Below are 20,219 nucleotides of genomic sequence, written 5' to 3'. Positions count from 1 at the left end.
GCACAACAAATAAGGGACTGCGTAGGGAACAGAACCCAGGTCTCCGGGGCTCTGCCTGCAACTCCTGCAGACTCAGCATCCAAAAGCTCAGAAAGGAGCTTTCCTCCTTGTCCTGGCTCTGCCCTGGCCCCGGCTCCCAGGACAAACCTCATTCTTATTCCCTGCCTGAAGATAGCACACAAGTCAGGGCCTCCAGGCATGCCCTGGTCTGGGGGCCTAAGGCCATTTCTCCGCAAATGAGAAAGCCAGAGACCAGGCCATAACAGGTAGAATTCAAAGAAGTATGTCTATTCAGACTCCAGTGGGCTACCAATACAGCTCTGAAGGACTGTCCCGGGACAGAGGGGAGCACTTTGTTCAGAAGGCAGCGGTTAATCTACAGAGACATAACAGGAAGGCAGGTTTCTGTTCAGCCTAAGGAAGAGCTTCCTAAGCTGCCCAGTGATGGAAAGACATACCTTGGTAGGTGGTGAGCACCCTATCACTGGACACAAGGTTCAGATGCCCACATGGGGTGGGCAGGACTGGTAGGTGGTATTAGAGGAGATACCCTTAAAAGCCCTTTTCCATCTTGAGAGGGTGTGATTTGGGCAAACACACTCAGTCACTCAAGCTCACAAACCACAGTCACTCGAACACAAGATCCCCGGTCTTCAGAAAGAAGGGTCAAGCCTTAATCACTGAGGAGTGGCCTCTGTCTTCCAGGCTATGGCTCAATGGGAGGAAGGGTGCTCGGGCTCCAAGATTGCTGTCTTACACTAGCTGGCCTATGGGTCCAGCCCCAATGCCTCCTTCTCCTGCATGGAGCCGTCAGAATTTCCCCCATTTGGGATGTTCTTAACCTACTTGCAGATTCCCACACTAGCGTGTTTTGTTGGTCTAATTCCACCTTGAATCAGAACAGTGTTTCTCAAGATTTTTTTTTCTTGGTGGCATAGGGACATGGAACTATCCAATATCACTTAGCAGTGAGAAAGCTGTTCCTTTAAAAACTCTCTTTCATTCATTGAGGGTGGGGTTGCCAGATTCAGCAAGTACAAATACAGGAGACCCAGTTAATTTGAATTTCAGATAAATAAGAAATAACTTTTTCCAGGGTAAGTAGGGCCTCCGCAATATTTAGGATATATACTAAAAAATTATTCATTGTTTATCTGAAATTCAAACCTAATGGGCATCTTGTATCTTTTCTTCTTCTTCTTCTTCTTCTTTTTCTTTTCTTTTCAGACGGAGTTTCACTCTTGTTGCCCAGGCTGGAGTGCAATGGAGCAATCTCAGCTCACCGCAACCTCCGTCTCCCGGGTTCAAGCAATTGTCCCACCTCAGCCTCCCGAGTAGCTGGGATTATAGGCATGCGCCACCATGCCCAGCCAATTTTGTATTTTTAGTAGAGACGGGGTTTCTCCATGTTGGTCAGGCTGGTCTCGAACTCCTGACCTCAGGTGATTCACCCACCTCGGCCTCCCAAAGTGCTGGGATTACAGGAGTGAGCCAGGGCATCTTGTATTTTATCTGGCAGATATAATCAAGAAGAAAGTCTTAGTTGGGTGCTAGCCTGTCTTTAACATAGCTCTGACGCTTGTTAATCTTCCTTTTTATCAGAGAGAGAGAGAACAAGTCTCAGGCTCTAGGTAAAATTTAACAACATTGTTTTGTTTTTATTGTATTTTATTTACATGGTTACTATGTACGGTGAGTGTTACTATCTTCCCTTTACAGTAGCAATATCAAATTCCCTTTGAAATAACTGTATTCAGGTTTTAAAAAGTGAATCAATTTAAAGAAAACTGTTACGTAAGTAACATCACAGGTTCAATGCAGTTGTGACAAAAAACAGGAAGGCGAAGGCCAAGAGACCAGGGCTTGGGGCTATCTGAGACGGCGCTTCTGCCCTTTCCCATCTGTGAACTCCAGGGTCCCTTCCTCCCCTGCCCCGTCCCTTGTCCACACAGGCTTGATGGCTGGAATTCTGCAGCCCCTGGGGCAGGCCTGCAGGAAGTGCTGGGGGCTCAGCTGCGCATGCTGCAGTTCTGGGGGAGAGGTTTCAGTCCATTCTCCATCACTGAGGTCCCCAGAGCCCCTTTATACAAAACAGCCTCCCCGTCCCGGGCTCAGCTTCAGAGGGGCTGTTACTGAGGAGGCAGCCGCCAGGGACTTCTCAATGTGTTTCCAAGTCAAATCCCAGCCTTTTCAGCTTTGCCAAGACCCACCCCCACTTCCACTCTGGCTGCCTCCGGGAGTCAGGGCTGCGGGCCATGTCCTCCAGACACCCCTCCCCCACCTACCAGACCTTCCGGCCCAGACACCATTAGTGCCCCCATCCCAGGCCTGGCACCTTTGCCTCATCTGTTCCCCACCCCCTCTAACCCTGAGGCTCAGAAGACAGCCTTGGAATTAGAGGTAGGGGCTGGGAGGGGGGCAGAAAAGGAGCTAATTCCCTGGATTGCAGAGAAGGCCCCAGTCCCTTCTTAGACCAGGACTGGGCTGAGGACGGGGAGGTATAGCAGCAAGTCTATGCTGCACCAGCCTCTTCTCCTTAGAAGCCCCCTTCCCACTTCTTTATTGTCATTACCAGCAACAACGATAACAGCCCTTCCTTTTCGAGACCCTTCACGTGTCAGGCACCGTGCTAAGTATTTTCTGTGAATCTTCTTATTGCACCCACACAGGGACCCTCTAAGCTGACAATTGCCATTATCTTATTTTAGAGAGGAAAAAGCTGAGGCTTGGTTGTGTTAAGTAACTTGCTCAAGGTCACGTATTTAGAAGGGACAGAGCCCACACAAGCGCCACCCTCAGATGCACAGTATCAGCCCCAAAAGACTTCTAGGACGTGAGGTGGAGAAACTGAGAAACCAAGAGACAAAGGCTGCCTGCCAGGCTTGGTTTGACTCTGGTAGAAATCCCCTCTGCTGTCTCACCCAGCGTCTGATCACCACCAGAGCTGAAGTGCTCTACCAAGTTGCTGTGTGGCCTGGAGCAGCCCCTTGGCCCTCTCTGGGCCTCCACATCCCCTTCTGAGCTATCTTAGAGGCTTTTCAGCTTGGCTGGCTGTGGCGGTCCCTCTCTCCCCCTCCAGGGGCCTATGGTCCCAGCCAGGAGATGAGCCAGGGGAGCACGTAGGGGAGAGGCATGGGGACCATCTCAGGCCTCATTCACCTCTTGATCCTCAGCAAAGATGCTTCTCCCCAAGGCAGAGGCAGGCTCCAGCTCAGACATCAAAGAGCCTGTGCGGCTGGCGCTTTGATGGGAGCCTTGTAAAATAATAGGAAACATGAGGATGACACTGTGCCCCAGCCCAAAGCGCAAGGCTTGGAAAAATGAAAAGAAAAAACTCTTGGCAGCCCTCTGCGCGGGCTTTGGCTGAACTTCGTTCCTTGCAGCTGTCGGCAGCCTGTCCTCTCCCCACTAGGTTGTTTGCAGCCACCCCTGGCGGGGGATGTGGGTCCTTGCATGACTGGTGAACTGGGGACCTCTCCCCACAGCAAAGGAACTTGTCTACTGGAATCCCTTTCTCCCAGGCTCCAGAGAGCACTACAGAGAGCACAGAGCTGGGGGCTTTGAAAGGGCTCACAGGGACTCTGAATAAACCCTCATTTGAAGATACTTTAGTCCATCTCAGACCTGGAGACTGTGTGGCTCATAATCCAATAATTTGCTCTTTCTACCTCCTGCCAAATGCATTAGCAGCAACTGACCAGACCACGGGGGCCTGTCATTCCCCTGCTCAAAACCTTCTAGGCAACAATGTGGTGACACATACTGAATTAAATGCATGTATCCTTTGACCAGCAATACCACTTCTAGGAAGTTATCCAGCTGGCACACCAGCCCACATGCTCAAAGGTGAATGCGTGAGGATATGTTCATCGCAGGGTTGTTTGTGGAAGCAAATGGCTAGAAATGATGTCAAGGTCCATTCGTAGGGATGGGTAATGACGTGCAGAGCGTCTATATGGCAGGACAGTAAGTGGGGGTAAAACCAATGAGATACACCTACATGTGCTGCTCAGAAATTATCTGTAAGGCTGGGTGTGGTGGTTCTTGCCTGTAATCCTAGCACTTTGGGAGGCTGATGTGGGTGGATCACTTGAGGTCAGGAGTTCAAGACCAGCCTGGCCAACATAGCCAAACCCCGTCTCTACTGAAAATACAAAAAAATTAGCTGGGTGTGGTGGCGCACACCTGTAGTCCCAGCTACTCGGGAGGCTGAGGCAGGAGAATTGCTTGAACCCAGGAGGCGGAGGTTGCAGTGAGCCAAGATCACACCACTGCACTCCAGCCTAGGCAACACAGCGAGACTCTGTCTCCAGAAAAAAAAAAAAATCTATAAAGCATACACTGGAACAGAGAATGGTGTGTATAGTACATTACCACTTACAAAAAGGAAGCAATGGAATGCATTGAATCAATATAGCCTCGAATATTGCTCCAAAGACATACAAGACCTGTCAAAAGGGTTTGCTTCTCAAGAAGGAATTGGGAGAGGGGAAGGAAAATTTATTTTTTACTAAGAATTCAGTTGTATTGTTTGCTGCCTTTTTTTTGTAAATAAGTGACTGTGCAATACAAATTTTTTTATGTCAAAAAGTGTGAACACCTTTAAAAAAAAAGGTTCCATATTCCACAGAGGATAAAGTCCAAAGGCCTCATTAGACTGACTTTATGGCCCCTGGGAGCTCCTGGGAGCACCGCCCCAGCCTCCTCTTCTCTCCCCTGCCCCCTTCCTGCACCCCACCCCTAACCTCTGCCATATAGGATGGTTTTTCTCCCCCACTCTCCTAGACAGACTGAGATCCCCTTCTCTCTGACTCCCACAATCCTGGGTGTCTGGGGCTCTGAGATGCTCAAGACCTACTTTCTTCCATGGCTGCTGCAGAGGTCCTTCCCTTCCCAACATGTGGAGCCCCTTTTCCTCTGGGTGGGGACAGGCAGCCTGAGGCTGGCTCTGGGGGAGGGGAAGTTCCCCCTGGCAGACACACCCCCAGCTTCAGAGGCTGGGGTTGCAGAAGTCCAGGGTAGTGACAAAGTTCCAGGAAGGTTATGTGGTACCAGAAACTCACTAAGGGCCCTTTTATAACACGCAGCTTCCCCCGACCCCCGGGGCACACCAGAGAGTGGAAAGTCACGCATGGAGATATGGCCGGTGGCCAGGCTGGCTCAAGAGGGAGTTGGAGGTTGGTCCTCAGACCAGAATGGGAGGTCCCAGAAGCTCCCAGGGTCCATAAAGTCAGGCTGAGGCCTTTGGACTATCCTCTATGGAATATGGAACCATGTTTTCACACTTTTTTGAAACTAAAAAAATTCATACTGTACACTGACTCATTGTAAAATTACTTCACTTTACCCCTAGGGGCCTGGCGTTCATCCTGACAACTCTATTGGGCTTTGAGAAAGGTATGGGGAGGGATATCCAACACAGCTCAGTAAGGCTGACCTTCCCAAAAATGCAAGGGAATAGCTAGATTTTGCCCCTGGGAGAGACCCAATCTTTTCTTCTAAAGAGAAAATGGAGTCCCAATGACTTGTCCCAAGTCACACAGAAACCTCAGAAGAGACAGGACTGGAACAAAGCCTTCTGGCCCCTTTTCCAGAGGCTGTTTCACACAGTGGTGAGAAAACAGATTTGTGGACACCTAATTTGCTGTGTGGCCTTGGACACATCGATTTCACTTCTCAGAGCCTATCTGCTCATCTCCTATAAGAGGGAACTGAGCTCTTAATTGTCCCTTCTAATTATAATGCTATGTTTTATTTTAACAATGTAATAAATAAAAGGTACCTGTCTTTAGCATTCTAGAGTTTCATGATTATGAACATTCTAACAGTCTAACATTCTGAAGTTCCACCCAGACATCCATCCATCCATCCTTCCATCCACCCCTCCATGTATCCATCCGCCTATTTATCCACCTACCTACCCAGCATCCATTCTTCTATACATTCTTCCACTCGTTCATCCTGCCACTCACCCATCCATCCATGCATCCACATATCCATCCATGAATCCACATATCTATCCATGAATCCACATCTTCATCCCTGCATCCACATATACCTACATGCAGCATTCACATACACATACATGCATCATCCACATATTCATCTATGAATCTACATATCCATCCACACATCCATATATCCATCCATCCATCCACATATCCATCCATGCATCCCTATATCCATCCATCCATCCATCCATTAACATATCCATCCATATATCCACCCATGTACCCCTATATCCATCCATACATCCAAATACTCATCCATGCATCCATATATACATCCATGTATCCATATATTCATCCATGTATCCATATATACATCCATGAATCCACATATACATATATGCATCCACATATCCATCCATGAATTCATATATCCATCCATGCACCCATATATCCATCCATGTATCTACATACTCATCCGTGCATCCATATATCCATCCATGAATCCATATATCCAACCGTGCTTCCATATAACTATCCATGAATCCACATATACATACATGCATCTACATACACATCCATGCATCCACATATCCATCCATGCATCCATGTATACATCTACCCATCCACATCCACTCAAGCATCCATTCAACTTGTTCTACTAATATTTCTCAGGTTTTTACTATATTCCAGGGCCTGAGGATAGTCTGGTGAACATGATCGACACAACTGCTACCTTTTCAGGGCTTGCAGTTAGAAGGGGCACAATATCAATCAAATAATTCCACAAATGAATATATAATAACAAACCAAAGTTCTGCCCAGACATCATCCATCCATCCATCCATCCATCCATCCATCCATCCATCCTTCCATCCACCCGTCCATGTATCCATCTGTCTATTTATCCACCTACCTACCCAGCATAGGAAAAGCCTCAGTTTTTGAAGTGCTATTCTGGAGTTTGACCATATCTCCAGTTTATAGTGGGGGTTGGGGGTTAGGTATCAGGGCGGGCTTCCCTGAGGAAGAGTAGCTAGAGCTAAGACCCGAAAGATGAGACGGCATTTGACAAGGAGAGGGAGATTGAAGTGGCAGGTGAGCCCACGGGCTGTGTTCTATTTTAGGAAGCTCCACTGCAGCGGAAGATTGATTCTAGCCTCTGTGATTTGTGGTTTAACGAGCTTATCACAGCAGTGGCCTCAGCTGCCTCACCCTAGAGAGACAGCTGTCAAGCATGAGCTTTCCCTTCTCCCTTCCCGATTTTCCAGCCCCACCAGGTCTGCCAAGGCCGAGGGGAGCCTCTGCCTGGCACTCACCTCTGCCAGTCCTGCATGCTGGCTTGCAGCTGCGCCATACAGCAGGGAACCTGATGCCAATGAATCCTGAGGACCTTCAGAGCCTGGTACTTGTGCCGGCCCCTGGCAGTGTCCCTCGCTGGGGGTGGCACAGCCACTAGGAACCTCTTGGCTCCTCCTTCCATGGGGCCTGGTTTATGACGCCAAGGAGAACTTTGCCCAGCTCAGGGCCTCCCAAGTTCCTCTGGGGCCAACCCTGGCAGAGCCTCCAAGAGCTCCCCAGACTTGGGTTCCTGGGCTAGGCTCACCTGCCAGCCCTTCCTCCAAGGAATAAGCTGCAGGATGCCAAGAGCTCAAATGGCTCCCTTAGCCAAAAGCCTCCCTCTGATCGGGCTGTCACCTCGCTGGTCCCAGGGCTCAATGGGTATGTTTCGGCTTCCATACCTTGGCTCAAACAGTGCCCACTTTCCAGGATGTCCCCCTCTTTCCTCCCATCCTTATCAAGGTCTGCTGAAACCCCAGCTCCTCGTCAAAGCCTTTATCCATTCGGTGCCCCAGTCCCTTCCTCATCCAAGGCAGGTCAGCCTGCTGGGAGAGCTGAGGTTTTAGAGAAAACAGACCTAGGTTTGAGTCTTGACAGCTGTGAGCCTTGGTTTCCTTGTCTGTAGAATGGGGGAAAGATGATAATCATAGTATCTGCTTGTTGGGTTATCAGGAAGACTAAATAAGAGAATGTATATAAAGGACCTGGTGCGCACAAGCACCCAGCACATGGAAGATACAACTCATGTCAGGGCCACTCTGAACTCCCTTAGGATTCCATGTCTGAGCCATGTATTTGGAGTGCAACACATGCCACCTTAGACCATTAGTGCTCCCAGTGGCCTGTGCTGTCTCCCCAAATAAAAGCCCTGGCCTGGGCACAGGGAGCCTCAACCGTGAGGCCTGGCTCTACGCTCCCTCCTCGTGTGACCTGAGCAAGCCCCCTCCTTCTAGGCCTCACATGATGGGATGAGCTCTCAGTTTCCCAAAGGATGGGAACCTGAGCTACCCACCCCACCACAGCCCCAGTGGCGACCTCAGTGCCAGGCACACAGCAGGTAGGTCCTCCAGTGGCTTGAGAGAGCAAAGGAGGAGACAGCAGGGGGAGGCAGACAGGAAAAAGAGGGAAAGAAAAAGGATTCAGGGACGGGGCAAGGGGCTGCCCCCCATCCAGTTCAGAAGCGCAGGTCTGGGGAAAACTCCGCATCTGTACAAGCCAAGAAGGTGGTTTACAGCCTGTGTTTATTATAGTTACTGTGTCTCTAGCTGCCTGAATCTGGACAAGCCAGGTCTGTTCCACTGTGTACCAAGGGCTGGGTGAGGCGTGGGGGGTTCATGTGGTGAACACTCGGCTACCACAGCCCGGGCAGGAAGGCAGCGTGCAGGGAGTTGGGGGGCCAGGTTGTGTCTGAGTGGTGGGAGAGGAGTGTGTGCTGTGGGTGGGGCTCCTCTGCTCAGCATCTCTGTGACCTTAGGCAAGTGACTTTCTCTCATCCTTGCAATGAAGCTAACGAAAGGAGGCTTGGACAATGCCTGGGAAGGGCCTGGCATGTAGTAAACGCTCAATAGGTGTTATTAAAATTATTACTACATTATTATTATTGTGTGTCCGAATGTGATCTGCAGTGTGAGGCAATGAAGGTGCAGTCTTTAGTTAGAGAGGGAGAGTGTGTGTGTGTGTGTGTGTGTGTGTGTGTGTGTGTGTGTGTGTGTGTGTGTAGGGTAGAGAATGCTGCTGGTAGTAGCTGACTTTATGTGCAAAGTTAAATGAGCATCTGCATGCAAATGTCAAGAAAGGTGCTAGTTCCATGCAGTTGGGATTCTCAGGTTCCAGGAAGCCTTGAGAGGTCACCCCCAAGTCCATTCTACTCCAGCCTTCTCTGAGCAGTCACAGCTCATGCCGCTTTGTCACACATCCCTGTCCTCAAAGAGAAGCAGCCAAGTCTTCTTTAGTTGCTCACTGCAGGGCTGAGCTGCTCTTGCCCTGGCCAGGGTTTCCAGTCTGTTGGTAGGAAGCTGGGCTGTCACTGCACAGGCCTCTGCCTGGGGCAGTGCCCATGACATGAACATCCTGCCCTTGTGCCTTTCACAGTCCCCACGTGAGTCGCAGAAGTCCCTGCAGTGGGCATATTGTAGAGGACCTGCTGTCATTCACAGACTGTATAAACTGAAGGAGGCTGTGGTACTGGCCCCTCGTCACTCCCAGTGGGTAAAGTGTGGACTAGACAGGACATAGCCAAGGTCCTTTCTGTTCCAGTCCAGGACTTCCCCACCGTGAGATGCCCTCTAGAGAGAGATCAATGGGGTGAGATATTTCTGGCCTCCCAGGCCAACCTTGTCTGGTCAGAGTGCCCCCCCAGCCACAGGTGAAGGGCCTTGCAGTACCACTAACCACCTTCCAAGGTGGGGTGGGGGCACAGTAGACATCGCGGGCAGCTCTGAGGGAAGGACATAAGCAGAGGGAAGAATGAGGGCCTGCGTGTGCGAGTTCAGTTGGTTCATAGGTTTACCCTTTGAGCAGTTTTACTTCTTGCCATTTATCCCAAGGAAATAATTCACATGTGTACGAAGGTGCAGGTACCAAGAGATTCAATGCTGCATTGTCCATTCAAGGGACATTTTGAAAATCCCCTAAAAGCTCGACAACATCAGGCAGCTATACGATGGAACGGCCCTAAAAAGGTCAAAGTGGATCTGCATTTCCTGACGTGGCCAGGTGTGCACCACTGGTGTTGAGTAGAAGAAGGAAAGTGACAAAGCTAGATGAGTATGATGAGCCCACTTTCCTGAAAAGTAAACATACATAAATACTACAGAGACCCAGGACAGAAATAATAGGAGAAATGACACCAACATATTGGCAGTCAGTCATTTTACATGGTAATTTTGGGGTGATATTTAGTTATCTGTTTTGTTATATTCTCTTCTAGCTGTTATGTGTTTAACAATAAAATCATTGGCTGTGTGCAGTGGTTTATGCCTGTAATCCCAGCACTTTGGGAGGTTGAGGTGGGAGGATTTCTTGAGGCCAGGAGTTTGAGACCCTGTCTCTTAAAAAAAATATGACAACAATAATAATAAAACCACCGAAAGGGCTAGAGATGGTGGCCTGCAGCCCTCTGCTATAATCACCGTACTTGAGAGGCACTCATGAGGAAATGCGCCTTGGGTTCATCTTAGCACCTGCTGGAGGGACTTTCTCTGAGAAGTCCAGAATCTGCTTTCAGACCCTCTCCCAAACCACTCACTCAGGGGCCTCAACCTGGATTTTCCTCCTCCATGGGTGGTTCAGGTGCCAGTCACACCTCCCCCTGTGGCTCTGGCCAGGGTAACACAAGAACCTTGGGCAGGTGGGATACTTTCCTTTTTGGAGCTGAAAGCCCTTTCCTAGGCAGCTGTGTGCCTCTCCCAGCAGGACAGGGTGGGTGAGAACCCCACCCCCAATTCTGAACAGAGCCAAAGTCCAGGAGAGACAGCCATCGGCCAAAGGTCAGCAGTACAGCCAACGCCACCTGGGCCCAGCTGCTGAGGAGAAGGAGGTAGAGAGGTTCGCCGTCTGGGCAGCTGCCCTCTGGCCCGCTGCCGGCCTCCCCTGCCCCCACCCCAGCTCCCCAAAGGCCAGGAACATCTGGCTGCTGGCCTAGCTCCAGGAAGGGTGAGTGAAGGGGCCTCTTTCCACCAGGCCCGCCGCTGCCGCGGTGCAAGGCACATCAATCAAGACCGCAGAGCTGGCTGGTGCTGGGAGAAGAGCCGGCTCCTTCCCCACCCCCTCCCCAGACATTCCTGCGTAATGGAATCTCCTTTCCTGTTCATTTATTACCAACCCGCAGAACCCCGCCAAGCCCCGTCTGCACACTCAAGCCCCACCGACCCTGCCTGTTCCTGGGGAAAGGGGTTCCTGGGGGTCCTGGAAGGAGCGACCTAATGGCCACTAGCAGATTCCCACAGTACTCCTCTGCCTTCGTGCACTTGCCCAAGAGGCCTGCTCTGCTAAGCACTCACATAGGAGATCTCAAGTGTCTATGCCTGTGATATGAACACTCTCATCCTCATGTTAACAGATGAGAAAACTTCAGCTCTGAGATGTTAAGCCACTTGCTCAGAGTCACACAGCAAGACAATGGCAGAATCTGCCAAATTCCCAAGCCCAAGCTCTTTCTTTTCTTCTGTGGAAAAGACTATTCTTTCCCTCACTGAATGGTCTTTCTTTGAACCCTTGTCAGTTGACCATAGATGTATGGATTTATTTCTAGACTCTAGACTTGATAAATACATACCCTTGTGCCACACTGTCATGATTACTGTTGCTTTGCAGTTGCTTTAAAATCTCAATGTGTGAGTCCTCCTGCTGTATTCTTTTTCAGTATTGTTTTGACTATTCTGGATCCCTTGAAATTCCATATGAATTGTAGAATTAGAATGTCAATTTATACAATTTATATCAGCTATTTGACAAGGGTTGTGTTGAATCTGTAGATCAATTTTGGGAGTACTGCCATCTTAACAATGTTAATTGAGTCATCCAGTCCAGGAATATATAGTATTTTCCACTTGTTTAAGTCTTTACTTTCTTTCAACAGTTTTGTAGTTTTCAGAGTATAAAATTTGCATTTATTTTGTTAAGTTTATGTATACGTATTTCATTCTTTTTGATGCTACTGTGAGTGGAATTGTTAATTTAATTTCTGGATTGTTGATTTTGAATGTGTAGAGATACAATTTATGTTTGTATATCAATCTTGTATCCTGCAACCTTGCTGAACTTATTTATGAGTTCCAATAGTTTTTTAGTGAATTTCTTAGGATTTTCTATGTGTAAGATCATATCATCTGTGACTAGAGATAGCTTTACTGCTTCCTTTCTTTTTTTCTTTTACTTTTACTTATGTATATTTTTATAGAGACAGGGTCTTGCTCTGTCACCCAGGCTGGAGTGCAGTGGTGTGATCACAGCTCACCGCAGCCTTGAACTCCTGGGCTTACACAATCCTCCAGCCTCAGCCTTCTGAGTAGCTTGGGATGACAGGTACACACCATCACACCTGGCTTATTTTTTTTTTATTTTGTTGAAGTGAGGTCTTGCTTTGTTGCCCAGGCTGGTCTCAAACTCCAGGCCTAAAGCAATCCTCTCACCTTGGCGGCCTCCCAAAGCACTGGGATTATAGGCACGAGCCACCATGTCCAGCCTATGTCTTCCTTTCCAATCTGGATGCCTTTTTCTTTTCCTTGCCTAATTACGCTGACTGGAACTCCCAGAACATGTGGAGTAGAAGAGGCAGGCATCCTCATCTTAGCCCCTTTCTTCTCTACGTCCCTTCCTTTCTTATGGTTCCTTTTCCTCTCCTCCACCCAATGAGGGGTGGGAATGGTGTTAGCAGAGAAGAGAGTCTATACAAGGGAAGTGGCAAGAATAAAATAAGAAAGAAAAAAACCAATTTGTCAGATACATGAAAGTCCAAGACTATATCAGGATCCCCACTGTATAATTGAGAAAATGGAGGCCCAGATAAAAAGATGTGACAATTAAATTTATTGGACACCTACTCCATGCCAAGTACCCAAGATACAAAGATGAATCAGAAACTCAAGGTTGAAAGCTGGAATTCGAACTGAGATCAAAGTAGATCCACATTACCATCTTGGAAAGGAGGGAAACATAAAAGAAACCCGTCACTATTGCTCTTAAACCTCTTTAGAAGCGGAGGCTCAGAGCTGTCAGGAAGGTGGCCACTGCACACAGCCAGGTGTGCCAGCTGTGGCGGGGTGGGCAGCTCTAGGCACCGGCACAGGGGCTGGCTCTGTGTGAAGCTGCAGTTGAACCAGATGTACTGCAAGCAGCTTCCACTGTGGGCACCCGGGAACATGGTGACTCCTGGAAGCTTAGAGACACCAGAAACCCGAGTCCCAAAGAGGGTGTCACAGCCCTGGCTCAGGGAGCCCCTAGGTCTGGACTCCCTGAAGGGCCGCAGCTCCTCTCTCCTCACCACCCGCAACATGGCAAGTGGGGGGCATGTTTCAGCCTGTTTGTGTTACAGCTCTTTCAGTCCCACCATTCGGTAGGTCCCGAGTTCTTGTCCTGTGTCCAGGAAGTATGAGGTATGTGGACAACTGGAGGGTGAGCAAGACAGAGAGGAGCTTCATTGGGTGACAGAACAGCCCTCAAGAGACCCAGAGTGGGTAGCTCCTTCCTGCAGGCAGGCTGTCCCAATATGTCCATCTTTCAGTGGAGAGGAGACCCACAGTGGGCAGCTCCTTCCCGCAGGCAGGTCATCCTGACAAGTGTCCATCTCGCAGTGGAGAGAAGACCCGCAGTGGGCAGCTCCTTCCCACAGCTGGTAGTCCAGACATCTGTGTGAGTCTGGCTGAATCTGGGTTTCTATGGGCTTAGAAGGGAGAAAGTGCTTGCTGATTCATCCATGGGCAGCTGTAGGTGGCCTGGAAAAAGCACCATTAGTTATCATTCTGGGCTGGGCTGTGGACTTCACCCAGAACAGGCAGCCCAGCACCCAGGCTTCAGGCCATCCCTAGCTTGAAGGTGGGGTTTCACTAGGGACCTGCCCCTTTCTGCCCAGGGACCTGTCTGCCTCTGCCATCAACATGCTGTCCATGGTATCCAGGCTGTTCATGGCAAGAAGTGCCAGCAGGCCAGTGCTGAGCTGCCCTCAGCCGTCCCTTGCCTTCCTCCCATGCTTATTGGTGCCCAAAGTCCAGAGGAGGTCAAGGTGGTGGGGGTGCAGGTGTGTCAGTGCCACCTCGAATGCGTGCACACCTAGCTGGGTTGTGACAGCACCTGGGCTCAGCCACAACTTTGCTCCAAAATCAGAGCAGGTGCCAGGAGCAGGGAGAGGCCAAGGAGCAGGAACAGGTACATCAGAGCCTGTGCGGGGAGAGGGACTTCCCAGGCCCCTGAGCACACAGGGATGCCATGGTCCAGAGCTGTGGCTGTGCCTGGCAGCATGGGCTCCCACCTGGCCGACTTGGTAGGGGCGGGGCTCCTGCCTGTTCTTGGCCCCCTCTGGCTCTGCAGAACGCGCAGCCCTGGCAGTGCCTCCCCCACTGCAGCTGATGTGCCTCCCCGACTGCAGCTGATGTCCCTGCAGCGGCTGCTCCAGATGGGCCGCTGCCGCCATCAGTAGCCACCTTGGTGCTCTATTGTGAGGATTAGATGACTGGTTAATAGGTGAAGTTTGTGGCAAAGGGCCTGGCATGCAATGGAACTATGCGAGCCGTCCCTCTTCTGCATACTTGGCACCCAGAGAAGCCAGCCCTGTCGTGCTATGGAGTGTAGGTGGGGCCGTGAGGCTGTCTGTGCTGGGACTTCGGATGGGACTTGTCCTTGCTGCCTAGAGCCCTTTGGAGTCATGGAAGAAACTGCTGCGACTTCTTTTTTTTTTTAAGACGGAGTCTCGCTCTGTCACCCAGGCTGGAGTGTGGTGGCACGATCTCGGCTCACTGCCACCTCTGCTTCCCGGTTCAAGTGATTCTCCTGCCTCAGCTTCCCAAGTAGCTGGGACTACAGGCACCTGCCACCGCACCTGGCTAATTTTTTGTATTTTTAGTAGAGACTGGGTTTCACTGTGTTAGCCAGGATGGTCTCGATCTCCTGACCTCATGATCCGCCTGCCTCGGCCTCCCTAAGTGCTGGGATTACAGGCGTGAGCCACCGCACCCGGCCGAAACTGCTGTGACTTCCGTTCCGCTTATAAAATGGGACTCCTTGGCACTTGCCAAGGGCCTGCGACATGCAGACCTACTGCTGGGGACTTCCCAGAAAAGGCGATAATTGCAATTGTTATTCTTATCGCAGCTCACCATGTGTGTCAGTCAGGGTTCAGCCAGAGAAACACAACTAGTAAGAGATGTATAGTAAGAGATTTACTGCAAAGACTTGGCTTACGCGATCGTAGGAGCTGGCTAGGTGTGTCTGAAATGCATAAGTGTGATGGTGAATTTTATGTGTCAACTTGACTAGGCCATGTGGTGCCCAGAAATGTGGTCAAACATTATTCTGGGTTCTCCTATGAGGATGTTTCTGGGTGAGATTGACACGGGAATCACTAAAGGCAGATGGCCCTCGCTAATGTGGGTGGGCCTCATCCTGTAAGTTGAAGAGAATGAAAGGCCGACCTTCCCTCCAGTAAGAGAGAATTATTTTTGCCTGCTGGCCTTGGAACTCAGACATTAGCTTTTTCTACCTTTGGATTTGAACTGAAATAGCTCTCTTGCTTCTCAGGCCTTCAGACTCAAGACAAGAATTACATTCTCAGTTCTCCTGGGGCTCCAGCTTGCCAACTGCTGTTCTTGGGATGGGTCAGCCTCCATAATCTGGGGATCCAATTCCTTATAACAAATCTATCTATATAAATACATGTGTGCGCACACACAGGTACACACACACATGCATACACATGCACATGCACACACACGCATGCACACACGTGCACATATGCACTCGCACAAGCATGCACACACACAAATGCGCATGCACATGTGCACACCCCCACACATGCACAAATGCATGCACACACAAACCCACATGCACGCACCCACACACATGCACACACGTGCACACACACAAATGCACACATGTGCACACATGCATGCACACACCTTCTATTGGTCCTGTTTCTCAGGAGAACCCTAACACAGCAGGGCAGGTTGTCCAGAAGGGCAGGTTGGAACCCTCAGGCACTGAAGCTGGTGTCCACAACTTCTCTTCTTTAGGGAAACTTCAGCTCTGCTTTTAAGGCCTCAAACCACTTAAATCAGGTTCATCCAGATCATCTCAGATGGTCTCCCTTACTTAAGAGTCAACTGATTATGGACTTTAATCACATCTACGAGATACCTTCACAGAACACCTAGATCAACATCTGACTGAATATCTGGTGACCATAGCCTGGCCACTGACCATCACAACACCTGCTGAGTATGATGGTGAGCCCATGACTACATAGCAGCTGATTTGTTTCCCCAAAAATCCCATGGGAAGATGTTTTTAGAACATGTCTTGCCCAAAGTGACACAGCTGGCCAGGGGGAGCGCTGGTGTTAGAAGCCAGGTTGCCTCCAGAGCTCAGCCTGAGCCACTCTGAGGCTCTGAACCCCTAACCCACCTTCTCAGCCCTCATAGAGGCCCCCTGTGGTGGGACTCTCTTTGCTTTTGGAGGACACAGAGGCTCAGAGAGGGCAGGTGGCTGCCCCAGTCACACGGCTGGGAGATGGAGGCTGTTCCACTTCAGCTCTAGGCCCCTCCTCACAACAGCCTATGCTCGCTCCCCTCCCTAAGCAGTCTACCCCAAAGGACAACGCTGAGTTTCTGCCCAGGAGCTCTCTGCGTGATACAGGCACCCCTCCCTCCGGGCCTGAGCATCGCCCAGTGTAAAGAGGGACAGAGCTCTTCCAGGTTTGAGGTCGGGGGCCCTGGCCTTGGAGCACAGGGTAGAATCTCAGGACCCCTGGCTCCAGGGAGCTCATATTTTGGGACTACTCCCACCCTTGGGAGAAGGTGCTGAGGGTATCTCATGGGGGCTGCTCAGTTGGGACCAAATGCCCTCAAATGGCCTCCCTCCCAGAGGGCCTGCATCACCCAGTAAAACTTGTGTTCCTGGGGAAACCAGGGTGCCTCCTCACAGACAGGCCCCTGAAGGGTCCCAACACAGCCAAGCCTGTGGTCAGTCCCAGCCATGGCGCGGCCCACCTGCCCGCCCTTTCCTGTGAGGGCCTCGGTGCCAGGGGAGGCAGCCCCGGAACAATGCCTCACTCTGTTCTTGGCCTGGGCAGGGGCAGCTAATTCAGCCACACCTCACACCGGCTGCAGATCCCACACTCCCCTGCTCTCCCCTGCTCTCCCTGGCTCTCCCCTGCTCTCCCCTGTTTACCCCTGATCACCTCTCCTATCCCCTGCTCACCTCCACTAACTGGCCTCAGGAAACCCAGACACTCCACACTTAGCACCCTCCCAGCTCCCTGACAAGCCACAACTCAAAGGTCAGGAGTGACAGCCAAATGACTTAGGGGCCCTGGGGCTGCGGGTTGGGGATGGCCCATCCTCAAGGCCAGCCATGAGCAAAAAGCCTACCCAGCCAATGTAGCCCCACCTTCGCTCAACCACATTGACCAGGCCTCCATCATCATCTGGTGAATGAGGAGAGGGGCTCAGAGAGGCTGGGCAGCTTGCCTTTGGTCACACAGCCCAGGAGCAGCAGAAGTGGAACTCAAACCCAGGTCTTGTGCCTCCAGAGCCCATGGTCTTAACCACTGCACAAAATTGCCTTTAGGAAACCCCGAAGTGATCATGAGTCCAAGGACTCAGAGGCACCTTGCATGGATTTCAGCACATATGCATGGATGCGCGTGTGCGCGCGCGCGCGCGCGCACACACACACACACACACACACACACGCCTTCCTCGGTAACCAAACCCCATAGACGGGGCCTGCCCTTCCCAGGCAGCCTTGAAAAGGGCCTTGCAAGGGTCTTAGACATTCCAAGCCCGGTCCCTACCTTCACCTGGAGGGGGCCTCTCTGCCCCCCACATCCCCAGCCTGGGCCTAGGAGTCAGAATCACAGCTCAGAGTCTCCTTGGTGGGTGTACATGGCTTGGGGAGGTCAGTCCCGCCCCAGAGCACCCCCAGCCTGCCAGGCCTGTGGGTCAGCCAGATCCCTCCCCCAACCCTCTCAAGGCCCACAAGCCCCGGGCCAGGCCTGGCTTCCGGAGCTGCCGCCACCTTGGCTGGCCACACCACACATGGTTTTAATCAGCAGCCTGCCTGGATGAATGGCGCCTTGTGAGAGCGCCGCAGGGCTCACCTCCATGGCAGGGCCAGGATGGGCCAGGTGGGGCAGCCTCAGGGAGGGAGGAGTGTGAGGGGACCCCATGTGGGGGTCAGGGGGACAGGCAGGGACGGCCCAGCACAGCAGTCATGAGCCAGGGTCTGTGGCCAGACAGAGAGCAGGGGGTCTGGCTCTGCCACCCACAGTCTGCGTCCGGGCAACTCACGGAACCTCTCTAAGCCTGGGCCCAACTCTGCGTATAACCGGAGCCCCTTACGGGGGGCTGGGAGGATTTCATCTGAGGGTGCTTGGTGCATAGTGTGGGCCTGACACATAGTATGCACTCTGTACCTAGAGGCCAGCCCAGGGCCAGGGGCAGGGGACTCACAATTTGATTTAATAGAAGAGTGGAGAGAACTCACCTTGGAGCAAGGTGGCTGACCTCCAAAGAGGCTAGAGGTGGCATCTACAGCTGACTCTGGTTTCCGCAGTTTCAGGGCCTGGGCCTCCGCTGCTCCCTCTACCTTTCAAAGGGCCTCACAAAGAGAGCTGGAGGGGCAGACCTCAGCTCCTCGAAGGGCCCACCTCGCCTCCTTCTGTGGCAGGCAAAGCTTCAGACAGTACTAATTAATGTTTATTGAGCAGTTACTAGGTGCTGCACCTGGGTGTTTCATGCATAATCTCATCTAATCCTCCTTTTATGATTGTTTTCATTTATGTAGAACAAAACTATGACTCAGAAAGGGTAGGCAACCAGGCCACGGCCACACAGCCAGGGAGAGGCAGAACTGGGATGCGACGCTGCAGATGGAACAGCTCCTGCTGTTGCCTCAACTCCACCCACCCTGTGTCCTGTAGAGGGAGCACCATTTCCCACAGGGGTGGGTGGCACTGGGCAGCCTGCCTGGGGGAGCAGAGAGTGCCTTCTCCTCGGGCCTTCAGTGGACGGAGCTGTCTCCCTCACTGGCAACCCTGCTCAGCCTCCCTTCCCTCCCACAGAGCCTCCGAAGGCCCCATCCCAAGGGCCCAGGACCCGTGTCCTCCTCCCTGCCACTCTCCCAGCACCCACCAAGCCTGGCTCCTGGGTGTCTGAGAAATTATGGGAGGGAGTGAGAAAACATCAAGGGAGGGCCCTAACCTTGTCACGCCTCTCCTCACTGAGCCATCATGGCGGTCCTGTCATGTGGGGTAAAGTACAGACTCCTGTAACCCCTGCTGCACCCCTGCCCCTAACCTCCACCCTGCAGACTAAGGCTTTCAGCTCCTCCGCGGCGCTGGCTCTGTCTCTCATCTCCAGGCCGTGCTCATCTTTCCCCCTGCCTGGGACCCTCTCCTTTTCCACCCTGGCTAACTTGTGGTCCGAGCCCCATGCACTAGGATGACTGTGTGAAGCCCCTCCGTTCCCCACCCACCCCCTAGAACAGCCCCTGGAGCACTTCTGGGAGCAGAGCTCTGGGACCTCTGGGAGTTGCTCCAATTTCAGAATCCATTTCTGCAGAGGAAGGACTGCATCCTCTTTCCTCTGTTGGAGATGGGGACATCACCTTTGCAGACTGGTTTTCTCTCGTTCCTCTTCAAATTCAACTATCTGCAGAGCCGCGGGGGCTGCACTCACATGCCCACATGGGTGTCACTTATCAAGCTATGCTCCCAGCCTTTCAGTGGTTCTCTGAACTCAGCTGAGACCATTTCTAGAGGACTGTTTAAAGAATAAGGCATCCTGCTGTCTTCTACATAGATTAGGATGTCCCCCTCAAGCTGACTTGGCCCAGCTAAGAACCAGGTGAGCACAGCTTATTGGGTGCTCCCCCCACCCAGGGTCTCCCTGACCCCCCTGTCCTTTGGTATGATGGGTCAGCGAGGGCCATTAGGGAAACAGCCCTGTGGAAATAACTATAAACACGCTCAAAGGTTAAGCCACAAAAATGTTCCGCATAGCTTTGTTTATGATACTAAAAAATATCTAGAATAACCCACATATTCAACAATTAAATAAAGTGCGATACATCCATAAAATGGAATTCCATAAAGAGGGTTATTTAACAACACCGAGAGATGGTCACAATTTATCTGTAAGTGAAAAAAGCAGATTATAACATCTTATGTTGGAAGAGGAAAACCTCCAGGCAGTTCAGTGAACGAAACTGAGGGGTGTA

The 20,219-nt window shown here is 51.3% G+C and overlaps 1 protein-coding gene across 4 annotated transcripts in view, besides 4 other annotated features; it reads right to left on the bottom strand.

The window, feature by feature from the left end:
* Window positions 1-7,380, bottom strand: part of SYNPO (synaptopodin) — a 73,198-nt gene extending 65,818 nt beyond the window's left edge. For all 4 annotated transcript variants that reach the window (XM_047416688.1, XM_047416689.1, XM_047416687.1 and 1 more), the window contains exon 1: window positions 7,268-7,380. The gene's annotated coding sequence lies outside the window, so the exon portion shown is untranslated. The remainder of the gene's footprint in view (window positions 1-7,267) is intronic.
* Window positions 2,672-3,171: an enhancer, noted in NCBI's record as "H3K4me1 hESC enhancer chr5:149969781-149970280 (GRCh37/hg19 assembly coordinates)". NCBI's record gives its function as "activates a minimal SCP1, AML or CMV promoter by ChIP-STARR-seq in naive H9 embryonic stem cells {active_cell/tissue: H9 hESC(naive)}" and the evidence as "EXISTENCE:reporter gene assay evidence [ECO:0000049][PMID:30033119]".
* Window positions 2,925-3,124: an enhancer, noted in NCBI's record as "active region_23422". NCBI's record gives its function as "activates an Ori minimal core promoter by ATAC-STARR-seq in GM12878 lymphoblastoid cells {active_cell/tissue: GM12878}" and the evidence as "EXISTENCE:reporter gene assay evidence [ECO:0000049][PMID:35858748]".
* Window positions 16,065-16,771: an enhancer, noted in NCBI's record as "H3K4me1 hESC enhancer chr5:149956181-149956887 (GRCh37/hg19 assembly coordinates)". NCBI's record gives its function as "activates a minimal SCP1, AML or CMV promoter by ChIP-STARR-seq in naive H9 embryonic stem cells {active_cell/tissue: H9 hESC(naive)}" and the evidence as "EXISTENCE:reporter gene assay evidence [ECO:0000049][PMID:30033119]".
* Window positions 18,510-19,496: an enhancer, noted in NCBI's record as "H3K4me1 hESC enhancer chr5:149953456-149954442 (GRCh37/hg19 assembly coordinates)". NCBI's record gives its function as "activates a minimal SCP1, AML or CMV promoter by ChIP-STARR-seq in naive H9 embryonic stem cells {active_cell/tissue: H9 hESC(naive)}" and the evidence as "EXISTENCE:reporter gene assay evidence [ECO:0000049][PMID:30033119]".

The sequence above is a fragment of the Homo sapiens genome, chromosome 5 (genome assembly GCF_000001405.40).
Source record: "Homo sapiens chromosome 5, GRCh38.p14 Primary Assembly".
NCBI lineage: Eukaryota > Metazoa > Chordata > Mammalia > Primates > Hominidae > Homo > Homo sapiens.
The sequence above is the reverse complement of the archived record's forward strand: the minus strand, read 5'-3'. Positions and strand labels throughout refer to the sequence as shown.